Source organism: Homo sapiens, chromosome 4 (assembly GCF_000001405.40).
Source record: "Homo sapiens chromosome 4, GRCh38.p14 Primary Assembly".
In the NCBI taxonomy this organism is placed as follows: domain Eukaryota; kingdom Metazoa; phylum Chordata; class Mammalia; order Primates; family Hominidae; genus Homo; species Homo sapiens.
Genome location: NC_000004.12, coordinates 13,509,323 through 13,534,090, shown reverse-complemented (window position 1 = coordinate 13,534,090; position 24,768 = coordinate 13,509,323). Strand labels below are relative to the sequence as shown.

Genomic DNA, 24,768 nt, shown 5'->3' with positions numbered 1-24,768 from the left:
ACGGGGTTTGTTGCTTTTTGGCGTCCAAACCATACTGGAAGAACACACGAATAAGGCCAGGATCCTTCAGCTTCATCTATGTCTGTTGCCATCACACCTTTTCCTACCTACCCCTCTGAGGGCCTGGAGACCCTTGCAAAGCTGGTGTGGGGGCAGCACGACCAGCTAGCAGTCTCCAAGCCTGGCCAAGTTCTCATTCTTGTTCTTCTGGACTGCTGGGGGCGGGTCCTGGGGGGCAAAGGCCCAACGCAAGAGCCAGGCTTGTTTCTGGGTCAAGTTCTCCGGCCTCAGCCCTCAGAATTTTTCCTGGCGCCTAGGCAGGGAGCAAACCTCATATGCCATCATTTCATACTTGACCGCATTAAAATGCACATAACTTCCCCTGACCAGCTAAGGGCTGAAAAACAAGGTCCCTGAAAACACACTCCCCGTTTCAGGTTCATATTGGAAAATGGTTTTAAAATTGGAAAGATACTGTGGTGCAGTGTGGCAGCTGGGGTGTGTGAAGACACCCTGGGAGTGGCTGTGGCTGGCAGTGGAGTGGGGGACTGTGCTGGGGTGGCCGAGGCGTGGGTGGGGGGCGGGTGGGGGGCGGGGGTGCAGGGAGGGGGAGGAAAGGAGGTAAGGTGAGGGAGGGGATTAGACCTCTTGGGGTCCTGGCAGAGCAGCTTCTCCCAGATGCCTTGTTGAGGCTAGAGGGATTTAGACCCCCGTACCCATTGGGATCATGAGCTTAAGCCAGTGCTGCATGTTGGAATAGTTGTTTTCCAGCAATTGCTCTTGCTCTCTGGATTTCCAGCGCAGGGTTTGACACATAATAAGCCCTGAAATGTTTTCAGATGAAATATTCCTACGTGAAGCATTTTATGTTTCAAGAATGGATTCTCCACGCGGGCGCGGTGGCTCACGCCTGTAATCCCAGCACTCCAGGAAGCCTAGGACGGAGGATCACCAGGTCAAGAAATCGAGACCACCCTGGCCATCATGGTGAAACCCCGTCTCTACTAAAAATACAAAAATTAGCTGGGTGTGGAGGTGTGTGCCCATAGTCCCAGCTACTCGAGAGGCTGAGGCAGGAGAATCTCTTGAACCCGGGAGGCAGTGAGGTTGCAGTGAGCCGAGATCGTGCCACTGTACTCTAGCCTGGCAACAGAGCAAGACTCTGGACGGACTCCACCTCAAAAAAAAAAAAAAAAACCAAACAAACACAAAACAGATTCTCCGCCGCCAGTTCTCTTGAATCTGAAGGCAGGTAGTATTGATTCCCTGAGAGTCAGAGAGGCAAAAGAAGCTGATGACTCGTCCAGGAGCAATCATTTGGAAAAGCTGAACCCAGTGACTCAGGCCTGACATCTTTTTGATACTCTCAAGAGGGAAGGCAATGAAAGCTTCCTCCTGAAAAATCCCCATTGAAACAGAGGTGGATTTGGAGCCAGGCTTTCCTGAAGACCTAGTTCACAGTTCTTTGCTGAAAAAATGAATACCTCCGTTTCCAAATACAAAGATGGGGTAGTGAAAGAATTACATGCTTCTTGAGTATTTGGCACCACTAAATACTTGTAGCCTAGCTGATAATAAGTTTTGCAAAGTTAAACAAGGACATGTACCATTTAAAAAATATATTTACGAAGATGGTAAGAGGTGGACAGAAAGTGTGGAGAGACTGTAACAACAGCCCAAACAGTGAGAAGTCAGCCCCCACTGGAAACCTTCTTTGAAGTAATAGGTTATGTGTATCCCATCTGCAACTGCAATTGTGGTTTAAAAATAAATTCAATATATAGGCTTTTAAGGTTTAGAAAAGAAATACATTGAGGGGGAGCTTCATTTTCCAGGGCATTCCCTCTGTCCAAAAGAATCTGCAGAAGAATTTTTAAAAACAATTCTTTCCTAAGATGTCTAATATTTTATTTATATTATTAATTGTTTTCCATGAAATACTGCCTGCAGTGAGGCACTTCCTAAATACACTTGTCTCATTTATAAGAGGCTTGAGCCCTGCTGTCAGGGCTCAGGCCTGAGGAGAATTCAAGCCAAGCACACATTGGGAAGGTGGCCACAGGATGCAGGAAGGAGAATTGGAGTCCTATCCTTCAAAAGGTGGCCAGCCAGGGGAAAATCTCAACAATGAGCTCCGAGGAAATGCGTAAACAGAGATTTCTTTAAAGAGAAAAATCTTTGTTGTGAAATCCTTGTCTGTTCTCTCTTTCCTTCTTTCTTTGCTCGTTCATTTATTTAGTGCTCAGATATTCAGCAAAAGTAGCTGAAAGCCTACTCTGTGCCAGGGATGCAGAGAAGAAAGATTGCCCGCTTGGTGGAGTTTACAGTCTAGTGGGAGACAAGAAATGGCAGTGCCAAAAGAAAAATAAAATATGCTGCGGATTAGCGCCTGTGAGGCGCAGTATTATTTAGGGAGTTAGTGAAGGAAGGTCACTGGAATATCAGATGTTTGTAAGAGCGCTTTTCGTGGCTGCCGATCCTAAGGCCATGTCACTATCTCTCTGTCTCCATGTCTGCCTGACTGATCGTCGCTATCCTGGACTTAGTCTCTGTCCCTCTGTGTCCCTACGTTTCAGTCCTGATTCGCTGGTTGCCAAAGGCAGGGCGGTGGGGGCAGAGGCCAGGCCCCAGCTCTAGGTGCTAGCCGTTCCTCCTTACCCCGCCCCCTTTCTTAACGACCGGGCCTCTTCCGGAGGCCTGCGGCAGAGTCGCCTAAGCATTTGAATGGACCTCAGCCCTAGGACCCTGGCGCCCTCGGAAACCGGATCTGAGGTCCGGATCACTAACGTTCAGAGATGCAAGGGAAGCCGAGAAGTTGCCGAAAGGGCCTGAGAGCTGCTTCTCCTTCTCCCTGGGCAGCAAACCTCCAAGCCTGTGCGGGCCAATCTTTGCATCCTGGTAACCAGCGCTTTATTTAGCGCCTAATCGCTTTCCTGTCCTGCAGTAAGTGCTTTCCATGAATTATTTCATTCATTCCTTCCAGCAGCTCAACTTCCATTACCCCACTTTGGGGATCAACACTACCCTGGCCGCGGCTATTTCCGGTGGAGCTGGGGTTCGAACCTAGTCTGTCTGGCTCCAAACTACTCAGCGCGGGCCACACGTGCGTTGGTTTCCCCAGGCAGCGATAAGGGTACCATTTACACAGGAGAAAAATGAGGCCCGGAGAGAGTAAGTGACTAAATGGGCATCAATGTTATGTCAGGCACAGAGCTGAATGTTTTACCTTTAGCGCATTTCATTTTCCTGAGCCCTTTGAGAGGTGGAATTTGAGGGCCCATAGGAACCATGAAAAAGCCAGATAGAAGACTTGGTGGGTTGAAGCCTTGCAGCTCCAAATGGCAGAGTGGTGAACAGGCTTTGGTGGCAGGGCCAGGCTTATCTTCCACTTCTGCTTCTTCCCAGCTTCCAGACCCTTGGAGGAGTTCCCTAAACTCAGGCCCTCATTCTCCCCAAGGAATAAGGAGACTCATAGGTTGGCTTGGAGATAAAAGGAGATAACGTAGTTAAAGCCCTTTGGAGTGGGTGCATGGCACAGAGCAAGCTCTTAAAAGATGATCAGGCACACAAGGCTGGATGGAACCCGCCTTTCTAGACCCTGCTCAGCCTCTTCTTCCCTTCCTTCCTATCTGCAGAAGAGGGAGATGATCTTTCCAAAACTCCCTACTGTGAATAGTAAATGGCTTTTTTTTTTTTTTTTTTGTCTCCAGTGGAGACCGGGGCAGCAGCCTGAAAGGGAAGGCTTTTAATCCTGGCTTCATTTACCACGTGCCACTCCTTGGTGACAGTGCAGATCCTAGTGTGCAGGTAGCTCTGGCGGGCCTCACAGGCAAGGCGGAGGACCCAGGGCCGTTCCTCCTACCTGGGGTGACAGGAAGGAGGGTACAAGGCCCAGCAAGGCACATCAGTTGCTCCGTGCTCACCCTCCTCAGTTTCAGAGATTCTGGCCTCCTTGCTCAATGCCTGATTGGCAAGTTTCCCAGTTCTGGGCACTCAATCCCAATGCTTCAGCCCCAACACACACACACACACACACACACACACACACACACACACACACTGCAGTCCCCACCACTTCACCAGGGTAAGGCAGAGACTGGAGCTCCAGGAAAGGAAAGAAGGTTGAACAGATTCTGCGGTTTCCACGTGCTTGCACTGACCATACCTTTCGGTGAATCCTGGGGAGAACCCATGAAGTGTGTGGGATTATACCTTTTTTACAGAGCAGCAAGCAAAGTTCAGGAGGGTCAAGTGACTTGGGCAGGGTCACACAGCTTGGAATTGGTGAGGCGGGAACTGGCCCGGGGGACCTGTGGGACTTCAAAGCCTCCAGTTAATGTTTGCGACGCCTCTGCGCCCCCTCCCACTCCTAGGGTGGGGACTAGGCTGTGGGAAGAGGAGGGGAGAATCCCACAGGGGTGCGGGGAAGGGAGTATTAATTCTCTGGACAGTTTCCTATTAAGAAAACACCGACTCCGGCTGCCTCCTCCCGAGTGCCGCCGCTTGGCCTCCTGAAGGCGAGGCCTGTGTATTTGTAGTTTGATTCTGCCCGTCAAGGCTAATTTCTCCCTACAACTTAATGGACTCGGCTTGACGTGCGTAATGATTCCTAATCACGAACATTATTTTCGCTAGCGCGGAGACATGTTCCAGTTGTTGTGACAGATCGCATTTCAGCCATAATGACGGAAAATTACCATTTCTAATTCTCCGGTTTTTGACACCTAAATCCACAGACCATATGTGGCGGCGGGAACTCTGGGCCCGACGGTCCTCCTTCCCCGCCGCAGCGAAGCTGTGCTGTCGCCCAGGGCTTCCACCCCCGAGCCGCGCCCAAAAGGGGGGAGTGGGAGGGGCCCACGGGACGGACCCAACTTTAGCCTTTGAACCACTTCCTCCAACCTGAGGGCCCCCTACACCAAGGAGCAAAGACCAGAGCTTGGACGGGGCCTCAGAGACTGTTGCATCTTCCGTGACTTGTTTTATAGATGGAGACTGAGGGCAGAGGAGAGTGCAGCTTATCCAAGATCTCAAGGCTAGTAATTGGTGAGAAAATTCTGCACAGAACCATTCCCAGTGGTGAGACTGTTTTTGTCCTTCAGCCCGGGAAAGGCAGACCTGGCTCCCTCCTTTTATTTGCAAGCCTCAAAACCATCAAGACAGGCAAAGGTTTTTGTTTGTTTGTTTTTTGTTTTTTGTTTTGCGGGGGGGGTTTGGGGGGTGTTTCGGGGAAACATTGACAACGTGCCAGGAAATTTAGGCACAGAGAGGGTAAGTAATTTGCTCAAGATCACAGCGCTAATACGAGATGATGCAATTCACCTTCCTCTCACTTTCGGCACTCACACAAACCAGGCGTGACTAATTATGGCCACTTCTGGTGTGAGGAAACTGAGGTTAGTAGACGGAAAGCCGAAACTAAGACTCTCACATCCGTGTCCCCGCGTGTTACCCAATTTAGTAGGTCCAGGGGATACTGCGAACCCTACTATATACCAACATTTTGTAGGTTGTTTTGGGGGTCACTTCCTCTCCCCCATTCCTCCCTCCTCACCCTCTACCCACTTGAAGCTAGACTCCGGGCGAAGCTCTTGAGATACAGAAGTAGAGACGTAACCCCGTCTACCAGGGCCTCACTGTTTAACTTGAAGTTCTAATATAGATCAATGCATTTTTTTCTTGGGGAGTAGGGAGATCCACGCGGGGGCCAGTGGAGTTAGCTCACAATTTACTAACCCTGCTTTTAGGAATACATCACAGAAACCTCAGATACCGCCTCTGTAAATAGGGTTAAAGATGCCCCACTCCAAAAATGGTTGCAAGCTCAACACGGCTCCTTTCCAGACACTCGAAGGGCGCGGACCTTCGCTGAGACGCCACCCACGCAAGTGGAGGAAGCACTTGCGCCACTGCTGAGCGGTTGGAAGGGGAACACTGCAGGTACGCCCCAGTCAGGCAAGGAGGCAGGACCAAAGCCCTGAGCTCTCCGGAGGCTGGCGGGGAATCCCCAGAGGCTATCTGTAGTCCCGGCTGACCCCTGAGCGGGTGAGGGGGCGGGGGGCGGGATGTGGGAGTGATGGGGGGCGTTGAGCGCTGAGAGGATGTTGTGGGCGAGCCGCAGGCCCTCCCTGCGTAGCCCACCCTGAATTTGCGGGCGCAGCTCGAGTCTCAGAGCACTTCTCCTTGTGTAAAAGCAGCGATGACCCACGAGTGTCAACGAGACCAGGTGCCCATTAGGGAAACAGAGATGGAGAAGAAATCACGCGCCAAGGTCTGAAATTCGGCGTGGCTCTCACTCGACATCTCCCCATTCTCGCCACCCGTGCACCCGCCTGCAGCGGCGCACCGGGCTCGGTGCTGCACCTGCCTCCTGGCGCCTGCGCCACTGCCCCCGCGCGGGTCCCACCGCGCAGGACGCCCCTTCCTGCTTCCGACGTCTGCTGTGGATCACACGCGGTCGCTGCCAAAGCCTCCATTTCGGTTCTGACCCAGTGACTTTGGGGACGCCCAGGGAGGAGATGTGGAGAGGATGTGGCCAAGGTGAACCAGCCAGTGTAAGTGCTAATGCTTCTGGCTTCTCGGTAACACCTACCCTGCCCCACCACCCAAATCGGGCCTTGATCAAAAAAGAAGCGTCTTGACAATACATTTTTAGACATAAATAAGTTGAAGGTGCCCACGGAGGGAGGTTGAAAACATTTGATTATCAGGACAGAGTAGAAGCCTGTTTGGCTCATCCTTTTGGCCAGCTCTAAAGCAGCAGTGGACACTTCTTTGCGATTTTGCAAGGATGTTTGTGAATGTACTTTGTAACTCCTAGAAAATAGGCAAAAAACCGTGAGTGGATGTAGTCGCACCGCTGGCACCTGTAAGAACGCGCCCTAAAGCTGTGGAACTGCTATTCAGGTTCCAGGCACACGTCTCAAGCCTCAAACCTCCAAGAGTTGCCTTAGCTGCTCATTTTACTGGTAAGAAGACGGAGGTCAAGCCTGAAGATAGTGGCTCTGCTGTTTTCTTAGGCTGCTTGAAGCTTTAGATAAGCAGGAAAATTCCATCAAAGAAATCCCTGTATGTAAATTGGGAGAAAAAGATATGATGAATATTAATGCAGAGGCCTCTGAACAAATGGAACCTCCATTTTCACATCCAGCACAGGATCATTTGCAGCCAGACAACCTGAGAGTCAACCCCAACTCTACCTTTTACTAATTGCATGATATTGGGCCTCAGTTTGCTCATCTGTAAATTGGGTGCAGTGATAGAATCTATCCCACAGGGTTTTGCTGAGCATTAAATGAGTTTAAACTTGTAGATGGCTTAGAATAATGCCTGGCATGTAGCAAGTACGCAGTTACTGGCGCCTGGTGTATATAGTAAGTACTCGATATACATTAACTATTTTTCAAAGACACCACAGCTCACCTGGGAAGGAATCTCAGGTATTTGCCTGAGATTCAAGCAAACAAATATGGAAGCTACCAAAGGCTCATGAAGCCTGAAGGATCCTTGCAGAGAGATGTTCTAAATGTTGCCTAGAAAGGCAGTTTGGAGGGAGGCCTCTCCAGTCAGAGGTCTGGATGCTAAGTTTAGCTCTGCCACATATTAGCCAGGTAATTTTGAAGTAATAAACAATCTCTTTGTGCCTCCATTTCTTCTTGTGTAAAATGAGGGGCTGTTGTGAAGATTAAATAAATACATGTAAAGCATTTAAAGCCAGACCTGGCAGAAAGGGTGCTTTATGTTTGCTTTAAAAATATATATGTACAACATTTTTCTCTATGCCTGACATTCAGTAAGAGCTCACTATTGTCAGCTCTTATTCCTTCTTGGTATGTAAGCGGCCTTTACAGACATTACCAGTGTAGGGAAAGATGAGGTAGTTAGTAAATGTTCTGGTAATTGTGTGTGATTGCTCAGAGACAAGGACTTTAGGGATATAATCTGAGTTCAAGACTGACAAAACCACTCACTAGCTGGGTGGCCTTGCATCAGTCACAGCCTGGCGGAGCTGGCTGCCACCTGTTCAAGGAAGATAACAATTTCCACTTAGCAGAGGAGGCTCCAGAATTTCCCTATAGGAAGAGATTGGGGGTCTGGGGGATGGTTGGAAGCTTGTCTTCAAACTGTTCTGGCAGAGAAAACAGGCTCTTGACTTAGATTGATTGTACGCTTGTGATCTACTGGAAGGACTTCAGGACATGGAGCGGTGCTTTAGCTGCCCTTTGCTGCCCAACCTATTCCTAAAGGGCAAATTGCTATGCTAACATTCCTATTGTAATTATCATAATTCCCCAGATCTCTGGGTGAGGCAGAAAGACTGCCTTAAAGTCTGATTGAGAAATTGAGTGGGACATTTGGTTCTTAGTCCTTCATAAGAGGCCAGTGGAAGGGCAGAATTCATTTGGAGTTCACAAATGTCCCTTCTGGGAAGGCAATCCTGATCAGAAATCCTGATTGCTTATTCCATCTTATCAACCACTTACTGTGTGAGTGCCAGCTATGGAAAGATCTACAGGCTTACTACCTATTTTGTAGACTGAGATTAAAATCATGTAAAATGGTTGGCAATGTGCTTGGTGCACAGTGCTGGAAAAATGGGAGTTCCTATATTAAGTCAGATCATAACTGCCTGAAAAAAGGGTGAGGCGGCCAACAGGACCTTCTGGGACATAGTCACAAGAAGGCTCAGGTGTATTTTTAAGCCATCCCAGAAAAGCTTTCAAAGCACTTGTGAGGCAGCTTCTGTCCATTTTACTGAATAACGTCCTGAGGCAGAAGGGGCTTTTCAACTGGAATTTCCCTCCCTCTCTGAGGCTACTCTGGAAATTTTAATTTAAAAGCTCCTCTTGGCGCTTGCTCCCCGGCTCCCCAGTGCTCAGCGCTGGTGTCCGGGAAAGCTGGGAAGAGCCATGCGGTTGGAGGCCCCTGAGGCCCCTCCTGGCTCCGTTGCGTCTGCGGAGGTGGTTAGTTCTGGAGCACTTCAGTCTGCGCCGAGTGCGGACCTCACTGACTAATCGCCTCGGCGCGTAGCGGCGACCCAGCGGCTTGGGAGAGCGAAGGAGGTCACTGTGCTTTCAGCTTTCCCGGCCTGTTTCGGAGAGCCCAAGTTTGGCTTCCGCAAGAGCACCTCGGCATGCCGCCTAGTCCTTCGGTTCTTCTCGTCTGCATCTCCTCCCTTTGGTCCTAAGGAAAGGTTGTCAGCAAGACTGGGGGACACATGCGCGGTCTGAAGCCAGGTAACACCACGATAATTGTTGAGCTTTCCATAGGGCCAGCCCACCATGGCAAGCTATCTATGCCCATTAGATAATTGGTCTCGTCCATTCTACGGGGGTCATAATATTACCACTCCCATTTAATAGTTGAGGGGGCCGAGGTACCAGGAACTGGATTTCTCCGTGGTCCTACAGCTAACCAAGTGATGGACCCTGAATTTGAAACTCGTGTCTAGCTTGAGAGTTCGCATCCCTATCCAGGCCTGTCTGCTACCTTCTCCTGTGTTTCAGGACCCAGAATGGTGCCTGGTATCTGGTAGGCTTCTCTGAATATTTGTGGAAAGAGAAGGTATCGTTCTCCTACTGTTACAGGTGGTGAAGCAGCTTGCAAAGAGAACATTTCTTTCTCCAGGGCACGGAGCGAGTGAGCGGAATTGCTGAGCTAACCCCGGCCTCTCCAAAGGGAGGAGGCCCGGAAGAGGCCCAAGCCCGCGTTGGCGTGCGTCTTCCCCTCTGCGTCTCGAACGGGAAACGGTGATCACAGTGGCTCAGAGCCGCTAGCCGGTCACACCTTGCCTTCAACACCCGGGTCCTTCTGTCCCAAGCAGAGCACTGGATCTGTGACATCCGCATAGAGACAGAGCTGATTGCACTCGACACCCGGCTCCTCGACGCTGAGGGTTCTCGGCCTGGAGGGAGGAACATGCGGATTTAGTTTTAGTTATATCACGCTCCAGTTACTCACCACTGACTTCACACTTTCCATTCCCTAAACGCGGGATGTCCAAGGTGCCGGAGGCCGAGAGCGCGAGCCAGGAGTGTAGGGCTGCTCGGCGGCGGCGGCGCGATCCCATTGATGATTCCAGCAGAAAGGACAAGGCCAGGAATCTGGACGCCCGGGTAGAGATTGCGGTAGCCAGCACCGGTGGAGTGGGTGGGTGAGGGGCATAGCCCTGGCACCAGTGGAGTGGAACCCCGCGATGGGGAAGGACGGGGGCTCAATGGGATAAAATGGGCTAGTGGCCGCAGGCGGGGCGTGGTTTGGATGGGATGGGGCTGAGAGGCGCAGCGAGGGATCCTGAGAAGGCCACCTGGCAGTACAGCGCAGCCAGGCCAGTGTTCCGCGCCCCCCTACCCCGCACCCCCCCACCCCACTTCCCTCTCGGCAGAAGCAGTCCCAGGTGAAGCTGGCTGTCACCGGCTTCTGCCCTCGACACTGGGAGCTCTCTTTCCGCCCCGCAACAATCACCCCATTCCCCCGAACGCCAGCAATTAATGGGGGTGGGGGCAAGTGCCAGATAAGTTGGTTCAAGTACGCGGGAGAGGGGACCGTGAATTTCCCACATGCTAGCAGCGCTTGACCGTGCCGGACGCTGCGTTTGCGGAGGAGCCACGTCCTGCGTGGGTCCTTGAAAAGCCCTTAACCTTCTTTCTGCCGCAGGTCCTTCTGTGAAGACGGAGCTGGTAATGTCTACCTCGTGGTGAAGCTAAAGAGGGATGAGGGCGCTTCCAAAATGAAAAAGCCCGGTGCAGTGTTAGGGCCTTGCAAGCCCCAAACTTCAGCGCGCGAGAAAATACAGTGGAGAGATTGCTTGGTTTCAGCAGATGAGGGCGAGGCCCAGAGATCTGCACTTTTACTTTTCGGGTGGTCCTGGTGCATGTGGTTCGGGACCTCACAGCAAAGCCTAAGGCTGTAGGGCGCGTAGGCAAGCGAATGGATGGTGTCTGGCCTCTGCTCGATCAGCGTGTTCTGGGGGCCACTGTGCCATGGGCTCTGGGAACACGGCATGCCCAAGGCCTCCTCTCAGGGAGGTGATCGTTTATCTAGCTGGGCGTCAAGCCTGGAGCCAGGACTCTTCATTTAAGCCACTTTCTCCTGCGAGGCCACCACGGCAGCGAAGTCCGTAGCCCCAAGGTGCCTCCTCAAGCCCCTGCTCCCGGGACCTCTCTCGGCCTCCCAGTAGTTTTCGCATCCTTAAGCCTCGTGGCGCACGCTGTGCTAGGCCCCGGCAGCCCTGGCGCCCCCAGATCTCCCAGAGGAGAGGGAGCTGCCAGGCGCCACGGCTTCCCTGGGGCTCTGAGCGCTTTGGCGAGCGTCTTTGCAGCCACCCAATCCGGGTGCGGTCTTAGAGGGGCGACAAGGCATCTGCCAGCTTGGGGCAGGGGGCGAGACGGGGGTGTGGATGGGTGGACGGCAGGCTGCTGAGTGTTGGGGGTCGAGTTCTGCCTCACTAGGACTTTGCAGCGGTTTGCCCCGGAGCACAGTAGCCTGGCTGCGGCCGACACCCGGAGGCCGCCTTCTTCTTGCGGAGAACCCCGGCGTCGCTTCCTGCCAGGCTTGGCGGGCGGGGGTCACGTCAGGCTTCCCAAGCCAGCGGGTTTGCGCCTTGCCTCGCTGCCAAGGAGAGCCACCTGCGGAGGCCTGTGGCGAGTGCCGAGCTGAACCCACACCTGGAACGTGCTTCTCCCCAGTTCCCTTCTCAAAGCCCTTTCCTTGCAGGTCTGAAATGGAGCTAGAGGCTCTGCCTCTCCCTCGGGAGGAAGGTAGGGAAGTTGTCAGGGATTCACAAGCAGACAGTGTTTGCTCGCCTTTACCTATCCAGGTGAATTATTTGCGGTGATTTCTCATTTCCTTCCTCAAAGAAAACCATGTCCTCCCATCTTTCCATCCCTTTTCCCTCCTTTAGCTTAAATGCTTATGAAAAATTAATGGAAAAACATCTTCAGTGGCCTTTGGCTTGTCCTAGAAAAACAACCCAAACCCAGAGCTCACTAGTAATAACGAAAACTTTAAAATTCAACTCTTTATTCCAGGCTTCCCTAGTTTTCAAACTGACAAACATGTTTGGATTTCAAAATATCAAACTCGGTATCTGGCTGTTGTACAGAGATAACTTGGGTGAGGCATGACAAAATGTGAAATGTTAGTGCCCATAGATTTGGAACATTCCATGGGGCTTTTTCCTTTTGCTAAGCTATAGGCTTGCCGAATGATCATGCTAGAATTGAAAGTTTTGTGTTAATATATTGGCAGTTTATAGGGGAAAAAAGGTGGAATATCGAGCTCATGAAATTCAGTAAGAATACCATTAGAATTTTGCCATATTTGTCGTTCCCCCTTGGTTTCTTTTACATGAAATTCCATATAAAATATAAACTATTTATATAAGTTTGCAGTTTCACACTAACCAAAAATATAGGGAATGAAACAATTATGGAGCAAATATAGGCATATTAATTAGCCCACCTTGTACATGCACCTATATATTCTACATGGCATTTTTCATTACTACATGAGCTGTTAAATATATAAAGTAGGTACATTTGTGGGCACATTAACACACTATGAGAACTTGAACTTGTTCATTTCCTGGCTTTTATGGGCCTGGTTGGGCTGTGTGGGCATGCTTTACACATGCTCATGTGCCCTGAACTCCCACTGACTTCTAGAGTCCCACCTCCATGGATGGAGGGAGGCAAATAGAAAATGGCAGCATTGAGTGTAAGCTGGCCAAATCTATGTTATCTGCATATGCGTAATAATAACTGCATCCCACAGTGACCCTGGCCCCAACACATAAGGAAGCTCTAGACTCCTCATGACACTGGGCCAGTGTCCCTTCCTTCACCAAGTGGTCATTTCAGGGACCACATGGCAAGTCCTTCATTATACTGGAAAGGTTTTTGTTGTTGTTGTTGTTTGTTCGTTTGCCATTGGCTTGCCTGAGCTATACTCAAAACTATGTTATAAATATGAAAACTAAATTGAGGCTGCCCTGCTCCCTTAATGCAAATGAGTTTGAAATAATTTTCACCCCCTCCTCACACAAAAAGCCATTTGTACCTTTTATGTTGGATTTCTATACTCCTTTATTCTCAATCATAAAATTGAAAATAATTGTAATAAAATAATTATATCCCTAGAAATGGATTTCTTGGTAAAGAACAGGCCTGATATAGAAATAAATACTCTTGGGTAATGATGGGTGTTGCAGTGTAAAAGAATTTATATTACCTGTATTTAAAAAAATTGCTTATGTGTTCAAGAGAACTGAAAAAAAACTGTACAAACTACTATCTCCCATATATATTTTTCACAGATTTTTGTTTTATTTTGTTTTTAGTAAATAGGAATCTAGCAAAAAAGTAGTTTGAATCTGGAATTAAAATTAAAAATAAGACTTTAGAATTCTACTTAACTGTGGACCATGTAAGAAAAAAATTAAAGTCAGCTTCAAGATGAATCTTGAAATAAACGTTAAAATACCATTTGGTTTACATGCAAGTAGCATAAAAAGAAAAACATACTTGTTTTTCAGATGGCAAAAAGCTGGGAGAAAAGTGAAAAATGCCATTTTTCATTTTGATAACCAAATATTTTGGAGGGAAAAAATCATCATTTTTTTGTAGAAGAGTATTTTCTTGCATGATCCAGGTTTTCACCTTTTACCTGGTATGTATAGGCAGTGTATGATTAATCAATTAACATCTGAATTAAATATTGATAAGTGAGCTTTAAAAAATATGTAAATGGTCGTTTTGCTCTAATTATCTTATTTAATTAAAAAAAAAGTCCGCTTGAATATAGAGATAACACCTGCCATTAACTAGTGCTTGCTTCATGCTAGGTTCCATGCTTGGTGTCTTCCACATATTGTTTCATTTCATCCTTAAGAAAGTTGTTGAGATCATTCCCACTTAACAGATTAGGAAATTGAGCCTTAGAGAGTATAAGTGACTTGCTTAAGGTCATATAGATAGTAAATAGTAAGACTAGGATCAATTGACTTTGTGACCTAAATTTTAGCCACTACTCTAAACTGCATCCTTCCATTGATATGAATAGCCATGTTTCACCGAGCAGACAAATGAATTCACAGAACCTTGATATTTTATAAAAAATGCTTACTAAATTAAAATGGTTCAAGTTGAAATGGTAGAATTGGCTGTGAACTTAGACTTTGAGAAAAATGACCTGGCTTTCAAGAAGGTGGTCTTATTTGCTAGGCCTAAAATGTTTTACTTTACTGTTCTGTTTTGAAATGTTATTTTTTGGAACAAAACCAATGGTAAGGTTTAGAAATGGAAATGCCAATATAAAGGACAAATTGCTGGAACTTTTTCAAGCTATAAACCAGAGGGAGCTCAGCTGGGAAAATTAATATGCATATCAATTTCATGTCAGACAGTTCATGACACCGATATATTTTGTGTAGTCTCTCTATTGAAAAAATATATTTTAAAAACATTTGTTTGCTAAAAAGTGTAACTCTAAGGTTCACATTCCCTGGCTTGTGTACTGAAGATATTCAGCGTTTGAGTGTTAAGAAGAGCTGCGAATTAATCCCTGAGACAAATTCCTTCCATTTCCAAGTCTGCCAATACAGGATTTTCAGAAAGGAGAGTTGACCAAGGAAATTAAACTCCCTTTTACTATGCAGATGTCAAGAAAGAGCATACTCTTCAAAGCGAAGCTATGAAACACAAGAATTTTTTCTTCACTTTGAAATATATTTTCCTCTTAAAGTTCTTTCAAAGTTTTAGTTTCTTTATTCTTTGTTACTCTGCAGTACTGATTATTTATACCCGAGGAACATAATGTAAAGGCAATTTAAAAATTTGGCAACAATCTCTAATTCTCTACAATTGAAAAAAAAAAGTAATTGGAATTAACATACATGCCATTGCAGGGTGGGTTTTAAATTTGGTCCTAACAGTCCCAATATTTAGAAATGGCAGAATTATTTTGCCATCGAAGATGCTTTATTGAATAGTATTTATTGAATGTGATGAATGCCTGTTAAGCAGGTTAATGTGCTGCCTTTTTAATAGGGAGCTTTTCTACTGGCTTACCTTCCATAGGCATGCATTGGAGTTGTTTTTCAGTGCCGTGAGAGCTAATGAAGGCCAATTTAGAGCAATTTTCTTGAAGATTGCTGCTCAGCCCTGTCTGACTTGTAATTCCAACCCTTATGCCAGGCTGAAAGGAGTAGCAGGAGGTTAGTAAATACAATTATATTAATATCGATGTTATTTTAGTTACTTAAAGTTCATTTATCTTGAATGCAACCAGTCAGATTAATAGAGACCATATATATCCAATGCATATATTACACCAATAAACCTAGCATTTAAACAAACATTGAAATCAAGTGTTTGAGAAAAGGTTTCAAATTAATGTTTAGCCTGAGCTCGCCCTGAACTAATGACTGAGGGCAAAAGATCCTCTTCTATTATATTTTTTACTCTAAACTAATTTTTTACATTTATTAGTCAATGAGTCATTGGCATTTGTTATCTTAGATATGTCACTGCTATTTTTACCATACTTTTTGAAAAAGTGAGATTATCTTACTCTGTTATAGATATTATTTTCATCCACATATTCTGAGCAGTGTGTACTATTTCAGAATGGACTTTTTAACAGGAAAATCAAGTAACTTAAGTTGTAGAGAATGAACATACATAATTCAAATAGAGGCCAGTTATGTGATGTTGGCACAGTGAAAACTCAGTAGGGTTCCTTTAGCTCAGTGATTTCATTATTCAGGAGGAAAACAGAGAGAAAAGATGACTTACACATTCTCCTGTTATTTTGTAGCCTCTCAGACATTTTCAGATTTCACCTTTCATTTTAAAAACAAAAATTTTCTAGGCCTCTTTCCAAACTATTTAATTCACCTCTGGTAACTACAAATAAAAAAATGAGGTATAAATTGCTTTTAAAAACTTAGAAAGGTATTACTAAACATATTATTGCATCAGACTTAATTGGCTATAATATATTTTATGCCTTCAGTTCTTTTGAGACAAAAATCAAAAAAAAATTGTCTTAGAAGCAAAAGATACAAAAGTGATTTCAAAGGCAATGATTAAAAGGTAATTTTACAAAATAAGGTTTTTGTTGTTGTTGCTCTTTCTTATTTTAAATAATGTCACCTTGTCTAAAAGAGGATAAAAAGTTCCAGAGCGGACAGTTTAAGGTTATCTAATTTGCAATCAAAACTAATGCTTAGTATTTGTAAATTCTTTTGTAATTTTTGAGCTGTAAAATGGAGATTATTCGGTTTATCAAAGACATTTTGTGGGACTTAACATACGGAAAGAAAATGGACTATGAGTGCCACATAAATTTTGATATATGAAGAGAATTACTTAACCTGTTTTGTCTCCAAGTTGCAATTTATATCAGCACATTATAATTTGTCCTTTTATATGAATGCCACAATTATAGAGATAATTTAAATAATATTTAAAATGAATCAATTTGAATTTTCAAAGTCACTAATTTGCATTTAGTACAATAATTTAATTTTTCATATTTGAATAATGGCAAGGTAAATCGGCATGAATTTTCTACTTTCGGACTCTTTTTCCCATTTTGTATTTTGACTTAAATACAAAACAAATGCATTCTAAAAATTAAAACTTTGAGTTTGGCATTCAAACTTTCTTTGAATATTAAGAAAAAATTAGATATTCATAAGTGTAGTGAGCATTTTTTTCTGATGCTCATTTGAAAGGAATATTGGATTAAAATTGACAGGAGTTCGAAGACATTTTATTAAAGGTGGTTCTTATAAAGCTGTGAGAACACATCCCGTCAGAGTTTCTCCTTGTCTTTGCATTTACATGGAAAATAAGGAAGTGTGTATAATTTATTACTATTAAGGAACTTTATGAATGGTCCTTCTCATATTTCCCCCTTGGAAGCCATTAGATAATCTGTTTTTGTAATACTGAGTCAAACATTTAGTTTAATATTCTTTTTCAGAACAGACCACATAATCATAGGATTATTAGACATCTCATAATTTTTAAAGTTGTCTAAAACCCATGCAGGTTTATTCCTGTGCTGAGAGTTTCCTAAAGTTACAATCTTTAATTCTTGTTCTCAAAAGCAAACAAACAAAAAAAATGTTACCCAAGATGCACATAAAACATGCATTAAAGGGGTTTCCTACTCTATGTTTTTTTATTATCCCTCTACCTTACCACCCACCAGTGTTGTGGATTTAAGAGAGTCGACATAATTGAGTAAGTAAATTACCAAAAAACCAGGCAGCTGCTGCAGACACCTAGCAATAGACTGTACCTTGGTTCTAATGTTCTCGTATTAGCACTACAACAAGCAGAAAGGGGCTCTTAATTATGTCTTGCTTTATAGGAGCACAATAAATTCCTTTTGTTGATCTTACTGCAAACTCAATGGTGTTTTTGTGCAGTGTTGAATTAAGAGATATCAAAAGTCATAGATTGAAGGATTATTCTGAGTATTTAAGGAACGTGTAAGTAGGTAGTAATGAACCCCCTACACAACCAAATCTGCTCTTCTGAATGCAAAAGTACCAGTTATTCAACATTTCAAACTGACAGCTTGTAAATGTAAATTTTATTAAATGCACAGCAATAAAAATTTGTAGGTTTCTGTCACTTTGAATTTTAGTGGCTTAAAATGAGGCCTCTAGCCTTTTAAATCACAGCAGGTAAAAGCAGAGCTCTCTAGCATTCAGCATTTAAAAACTGGAACCTTTTTAGGTTTCACTATGTGCATTTGCTCACATAATATCCTTTGCAGGATTCAAGAATGGATGTGTTATGTCACTAACAGGCCTGCATTTTCCATCACCTTTATATCACAGTTCACAAAATGTTTCTCTTACAATTCTGGGAGAGAGAGAGAAAGAGAGAGAGAGATGAAGTGGGAGAGATTTAAAATTCAATTATTTAAAATAAATGAGATAAAAAGAAAAATAAATTTTAAGAGAAATAAGAAACAGTATTATAATATTTCACAGCATGGTTTAATTTGTACATTTTAAAAAACTAGTCAAGCTCATTCTTGTGCAGATTCTGGAAAATATAAAACTGAAGTCATATAAAATAAGCATATAGTAAGAAAATATTGTGGAGGACAAAATCTTGGTTAAAATTTTATAAAGATTTCTAAAACTTAGAAAGAAAATTTAAAACATGCATGTATCAAGGCTCAGTTTATTGGCCAAAATGATAATTGATTTTTTCATTTAAGGAAAGTCCAATGCTAGATTTAAATTACGATTGTTTTCTATGTTCTAGCTTTGGTTAATAACAGGAACATTTCATTTCTATATTTTTCGTCCTACAGAGAGGTAGTTTTTTTAATTTTTTTTTTTTAATGTAAAGACTGGGTCTCGCTATGTTGCCCAGAGAGAAGCAGTTTCAACTGATACCTGACAAATGTCAGAGTTTAAACATAGTAATTGAATATGCAGTTTCTCAAGTGATATTACTTTACCTTGGTGAATACTGTTGCTATAAATGACGTTTCTGATGAGACTTATGAGAAAGCATTTGGCCACCTGCAGTTGTTAAATATCCCCCTGGCACTTTTTCTAAGAGTTGAAGTATTACCCCGTGTTTTGGCCACATTCCAGTTTGGGCTAATGGCATTCGTCCTCGCGAAGTTTCCTTTGCAATTTTAATTGGATTTGACCCTTTTCTTCACTGTAAGGAGCCTTCCCTTGAAACAGTCCCATTCTGGCAGAAAGAGAGCAGACAATCATCCTTTCTTTGGCTAAATTTTTGGAGGGTATTACAATGCATTATCAAAGTGAATTTCAACATTGTACATGAGTATTAGAGGGCTTTAGTAACTATAATTACAAGTATTATGCGATGTATGCATAGACTCTTCTTTCAAAATATTCACTTTTAGGGTACCTTAAAGGATGATGTAAAGCAACTATTTTAACTTCAGACTCAACAGCTTGTTTTTAAAATTGTGGAAACCAAAAATCCCTTATAATAATTTATACATATTTAAAAAATATGATTACCAAGATAGTAATCACGTTTTAGAAGACTAATTCTCCTTTCCATATTAAAAGTCAAAATCCTTTCTCAGAGACCAGTGTGGATCAACTAACATCTATTTGAAACTATTACAAGTTTAGTACTTCTTGCTGTTGCGACATCTACTGAATCGAAACTAGAGTTAAGTATAAAGGACATACTGAATAAGTTCTTAAGGTTTCCTTAGCTAACATCTTTAAATTTGAGGGAGAGTCATTTCTGAGATTTTTTTTTTTTTTTTTTTTGAGACAATGTCTTACTCTGTCACCCAGGGTGGAGTGCAGTGGCATGATTACAGCTCACTGCAGCCTCGACTTTCTAGGGCTCAAACAATCCTCATTCCTCAGCCTCCTGAGTAGCTGGGACTACAGGCATGCACCACAACTCCCAGCTAATTTTTTATCTTCTTTAGAGACAGGGTTTCACCATGTTGCTCAGACTAGTATTGAACTCCTGAGCACAAGCAATTGGCCTGACTTGGCCTCCCAAAGTGCTGGGATTACAGGTGTGAGCCACTTCACCTAGCCACTTTTGAGTATATTTCTATTTCTGGTTTCTCACCTTCCTCTATCACTTCAGGGTGAATTGGCTGCCAAGGAGAACCCCTCATCTTATAAGGGTTACCAATAGTTTGGCGGACCATTGTGGAAGAGGGAGAGGTGGAGTTAAAATAGAGGAATGGTCCTTACAATCATGGCATTTCAGAGCTGAACTTTTGGATTTCACATTTAGTAACTTTACATTAATCTACTTTATATTTATTATTTTTCTCTCAAATTACATAAGTAATATGTGCCTATTAAAAATACATAAGCTGTATAAGGTAAAGTAATTTACTTTCCTCTCCCCTGCCCTGCTTTCTTTCCCAATCTTAGACAGGTTTCTTTGGTTTTTGTCCTTCCAGACAGAAATACGTTTTCATACATAGTTTCGTGTGATTTACTTTACAGATAAATGGAATCATACCATACCTTTTAAGCAAGTTGCTTTTTTTGTGCGTTGCAGTATTACTTAAAGAGCTTTCTATAATTAATACATATAGATATATCTAATTCTTTTAAATTGGGGCGTCCATATTATTAAGCACCCAACCCTCAAATTGCTGAATATTTCATTATTAGAACCATGTCTCTCAGATGCCCCTTTTTATGCATATGTGGTATTACTTCTCTGGAATAAATACCTGTTGACTGTGCTGCAGTTACCTTGTTTTGTGACTGAGGCAAACAGTGTCCATAAAGATAAAGTGATCTATCTAAGGATACACAGTTTTGGCAAAGCCAGGACCAAAGCCCAGATCTCTCAACATTTAGTTTACTGAACTTTCTGTTTGATATCATGTATAGTGGCCACTCTGGTGCTTTGCCCATATTCTTCGTCTATTGCAAATGTCCTTATCCTCAGAGGTTGGGGCATCAGCTTTCAATAGCTCATGGGTGCACCCCTCACTGAGAATTGTTCATGGCTGCAGGGCACTGTTTTGGCCAAGGTTATGCTTCCTTCCAGAGCTTCTCCCATGATAAATGATTCACTGATGCAAGAATAGAAAGATCTGGCTCCTTTGGTTCTATTTGGAACAACTTTGAAGAGCCACTCCAGCTCCAGAGCACCTTGTAGAAGGGCTGAGACCTCAGCTATAACTGTATTCAGGAACAGCTTCTCACTCTACCCATTTGGAACTTTCTTACAAGAACGCCTCACAGGAGCACTTGCCAATAAAACTTCTGCAAATGATTCTCTGGCACAGAGTCTATTTCCAGTGTAGAGGAGAAAAAAAATTATTTTTCTACCTTTCTATGTTCTTGGCTGGGCCCTCTATAACAAATGACAGAGTGATGAGAGAAAAACAAACAGAAGTATATTAACATGTATATTTCAAATATACATGGGAGAAAATCAGGGATGAGTAACTGAACAAGGTAGCTAAAATTTGAGCTTATATACTACTACCTTTGGCTAAAACAAAGGAAGAAGGTGTGGGGAGGCAAGTTACAGGAAGGTGACCAGGAAAACTAGAATGTGGTTTGTAATGCAGATTTAAATCGGTGCCTGAGACTCTTATCCATAAAGAAGGCACCAATTTAAAACTGCGTTACAGATTTAAGAGAGGAGTACAGAGAGGGAGACAGCCTCACAAATGGTAATTTCCTTTACAAAAGATAACTTACACTCTGTTTTCAGAGCTTTTCCTGTCTGTGTTGTTGTCAAAATAATCAACTCAAAACAATTACGCTAAAGATGCATGTTTGCGGTGCCATATTTTGGTCTCTTACACTAGAGAACACAATTCAAGACACCAGATGGTTTCCCATAGGCCTTTCTGAATGTGAATTGGAAGTGGAAAGACAGAAAAAGAAATGATGTTTCGAACTGGTGATGTCAATGGAATGAGTAATTCCTGTAGAGTTTAGAGCCACCATTAAGGCTACACATCGACTTAGCCAATACTGGAAGAAAAGGTGCAGAAAGGGAATAAAGAATGAAAAGGATATGTAAAGATGAGGGAAGCTGCTTCAAATCACTTTTAAGAAGAGAGAGAATAAACATCAAATATTAATAAGTGAATAGATGGAGAAATTTTGTTCACCAGCATACCTTTTAGGTATAGTACTATATTTAGGAATAATATAATAATAAGTGTGATGCTTTCCCATTCCCCCACCCCCACCCCATACACACACACTCAACTCTAACACATAGATGTAAGCTGACACCAAAAACACAGAGAGGGAGAATGTTTAGGATACAGACAGAGGAAACTAAAGTTCTAGCAGAAATGAGAAAGAAAGAAAAGGAAGACAGGGTAGTTGGCTGCTACACAGAATAAGACCAAACGGAGAGATCCAGGTTAGAAGGGAAGCTCAAACAACTTTTGAAGGAAGGATAGTGTAAAAGATTTGTGGCCGGGTGTGGTGGATCACACCTGTAATCCCAGCAATTTGGGAGGCCGAGGCGGGGGATCAAGAGTTCGAAACTAGCCTGGCCAATGTGGTGAAAGCCCATCTCTACTAAAAATATAAAAATTAGCCAGGTGCAGTGGCAGGTGCCTGTAGTCCCAGCTGTTTGGGGGGCTGAGGCAGAGAATCGCTTGAATCCAAGAGGCAGAGGTTGCAGTGAGCTGACATTATGCCACTGTACTCCAGCCTGAGTGTCAGAGCGAGACTCTCTCTCTCTCTCTCTCTCTCAAAAAAAAAAAAAAAAAAAAAAGATTCGTCCCCAATGGAATGAACAATTTAAACCATGTTGCCATCACTCCTTCTCAGACTACTGTTCTTCCCTATACAGGACCCTATCTAATAACCCTGCCCCCCAGCTCAAGTTGATTTGACCTGGAATGAACCCCTGAGCCAAACAGCCAGTCAGATTCTTTCCATCAATAATTTGGAATTGGGATTCACTCAGAGACAGATAATTCATTAAAACAGCAATTGGAGTTACAGTATTGTAAGTCTGAGAGCTGGGGCATGGCTGTCTTCCAGGATGGGACAAGGAAACAGAGAATACCAGGCTGAATAGAGAGAGTGGAATAAATTACATAAATGAAGAAAAATTAACATGAGAGGTAAAATACTCTTGGGTTTCCTTATGGATATCTGGGTCCTGCTTAAAGTCTCTTGTGAGGCTTAGCTGTATTCTTGTTCTTTGGTTTTGTAGGACATTCTTGTAGCCTGGTGACAAATTACTAACTCTATTTTTTTTTTTTTTTACAGACAGGGTATCACTCTGTTGCCCAAGCTAAAGTGCAGTTACATGATAATGACTCACTGTAACCTCAAATTCCTGGGATCAAGTGATCCTTCTGCCTTGGCCTCCTGAGTAGCTGGGACTACAGATGTGTACTACCATGCCTAACTTTTAAATTTTTTGTAGAGATGGGGTCTTGCTATGTTGCTGGTCTCAAACTCCTGGCCTCAAGTGATCCTCCCACCTCAGTCTCTCAAAAGTGCTGGGATTACAGGCGTGAGCCACCGAGCTCAGCATATACTACCACTTTAATAAAGATTTTAAACTAAGGGTATTGGTATATAGGGGTTGGGTTGCAAACATTAACCCTTTGAAGAAAATGTAGAATTGGCTTAGTTGAAACGATATGAAATAGGAGTGAATAATGAGGATTTATCCTGAGTGGGCCAGGGAAATAGCTTGATTTTGTTTCACAGATTTTCACTAATGATGATCAGAACAGGAAGGAGAAAAATGCCAAGAGAAAACCATTTAGCATAATCCTATAGAGACCAATAGAGAAAATAACTGGATATGGAAACAAAAATCCAGTGAATTTCAGGTCAAAAGTGTTCAGAAAATAAGTTGATAAAAATATCAATGTCTTCAGATGGAGAAAATATAAGAAGTAAAACATGCATTCACTGCAGTGTCTAAAAAAAGAACAAAAAGAAGTAAAGCAAAATTCACATTTTAGTGTAATTAAATATGAGAACATATAAGTGAAAAAATAAAGTGTAGAATGGTGTATACAATATTTATGTTAAAAAATGAAGGGATGGTGTATTAGTTTCCTTGGGTTGCTGTAACAAAGTACCACAAATTAAGTGACTTAAAACAATGGAAATTTGTTGTCTTACAGGTCTGGAGGTGAGAAATGCAAAATCAGGTTGTTAATAGAGCCATAATCCTTCTGAATGCTGTAGGAGAGAATCTTGCCTTGCCTCTTCCAGCTTCTGATAGCTCCTGGCATTCCTTGGCATTTGGTAGCATAACTCCAATCTCTGCCTATGATTCTAAAGACTGTCTTCCTCCTGTGTATCTGTGTTTTCTTTCACATGGTATTCTTCTCTCTCCTCTTCTTATAAGGACACTGGTTATCTAGAATTAAGGGCCCACCCACATAACTTCATCTTAACTCCATCATCAGCAAGAATCTCATTTCCAAATAGTCACAGGTACTAAAGATTAGGGCATCAACATATCTTTGTAGAGGATGCAATTCAACCTATCACAAAAGGCATGTTAATATATATTTCATTATTAAGTAGACAAATGTTTGTCTTTTTGGTTATTTAATTATTTTAGAGACAGGGTCTTGCTCTGTCTCCCAGGCTGGAGTTCAGTGGCCTGATCATAGCTCACTGCAGCCCCAAATTCCTGGGTTCAAGCAGTCCTCCCACTTGATCCTCCTGTATCAGCCTCCCAAGTAGCTGGGCCTACAGGTATGCACCAGCTAACTTTTTAAATTATTTTTTTAGAGATAGGGGTCTCACTCACTATGTTGCCCTGGCTGGTCTCAAACTCCTGGAGCTGCAGCTGGAGCAGCCAGGATGTAGGGAACATTGTCTCAAGCCAGAACAGGGCACGGGGGCCCTAGGCCTGGCCCAGGAAATCATTCAGTTCTCATAGGCCTCAGGGCCTGTGATGAGGGGCTGCTGAGAAGATCTCTGAAATGCTTTTGAGGCCTTTTGCCCATTGTCTTGGCTATTGGCACTTGGCTCCTTTTTAGTTATGCAAATATTTCTAGCAAATGGTTGCTCCACATCCTGCTTAAATTTCTCTCCCAAGGATGCTTTTACTTTCTTTGCCACATGGGTAGGCTGCAAATTCTGCAAACTTTTATGCTCTGCTTCCCATTGTATAAGTTCCAACTTTAAGTCATTTCTTTGCTCCTGCATCTGAGCATAGGTTTTTAGAAAAAGCCAGGACAGATCTTGAATGCTTTTCTACTTTTTTTTTTTTTTTTTTTTAATGTCAGATACCCTAAATTATC

The 24,768-nt window shown here is 43.6% G+C and overlaps 2 long non-coding RNA genes across 6 annotated transcripts in view, besides 2 other annotated features; one reads left to right on the top strand and one right to left on the bottom strand.

Moving 5' to 3' along the window:
• Positions 1–2,673: 2,673 nt before the first annotated feature.
• LINC01097 (long intergenic non-protein coding RNA 1097) lies at positions 2,674–7,772 on the top strand. Its single transcript, NR_034054.1, has 4 exons — positions 2,674–2,943; positions 4,989–5,169; positions 5,845–5,940; positions 6,198–7,772. It is a non-coding gene; the product is annotated as a long intergenic non-protein coding RNA 1097 (long non-coding RNA).
• Positions 5,715–5,794: an enhancer, noted in NCBI's record as "active region_21325". NCBI's record gives its function as "activates an Ori minimal core promoter by ATAC-STARR-seq in GM12878 lymphoblastoid cells {active_cell/tissue: GM12878}" and the evidence as "EXISTENCE:reporter gene assay evidence [ECO:0000049][PMID:35858748]".
• Positions 7,773–9,233: 1,461 nt separating the features above from the next.
• LOC124900669 (uncharacterized) overlaps positions 9,234–24,768 on the bottom strand; it is a 33,740-nt gene continuing 18,205 nt past the window's right edge. For 2 of the 5 annotated variants that reach the window (XR_007058052.1, XR_007058053.1), the window contains exons 2-4: positions 18,609–18,734; positions 15,069–15,195; positions 9,826–9,904 (exon numbers count right to left, since the gene is read on the bottom strand). This is a non-coding gene — a long non-coding RNA (uncharacterized LOC124900669). Of the gene's footprint in view, positions 9,905–15,068; positions 15,196–17,592; positions 17,883–18,492; positions 18,816–24,768 lie in introns of those variants that run through there. The other 3 variants (XR_007058051.1, XR_007058055.1, XR_007058054.1) reach the window with 3 other exon arrangements.
• Positions 9,602–10,801: an enhancer, noted in NCBI's record as "CDK7 strongly-dependent group 2 enhancer chr4:13524914-13526113 (GRCh37/hg19 assembly coordinates)". NCBI's record gives its function as "activates an origin of replication core promoter dependent on BRD2, BRD4, P300/CBP, MED14 and CDK7 cofactors, with strong dependence on CDK7, by STARR-seq in HCT116 cells {active_cell/tissue: HCT116}" and the evidence as "EXISTENCE:reporter gene assay evidence [ECO:0000049][PMID:35650434]".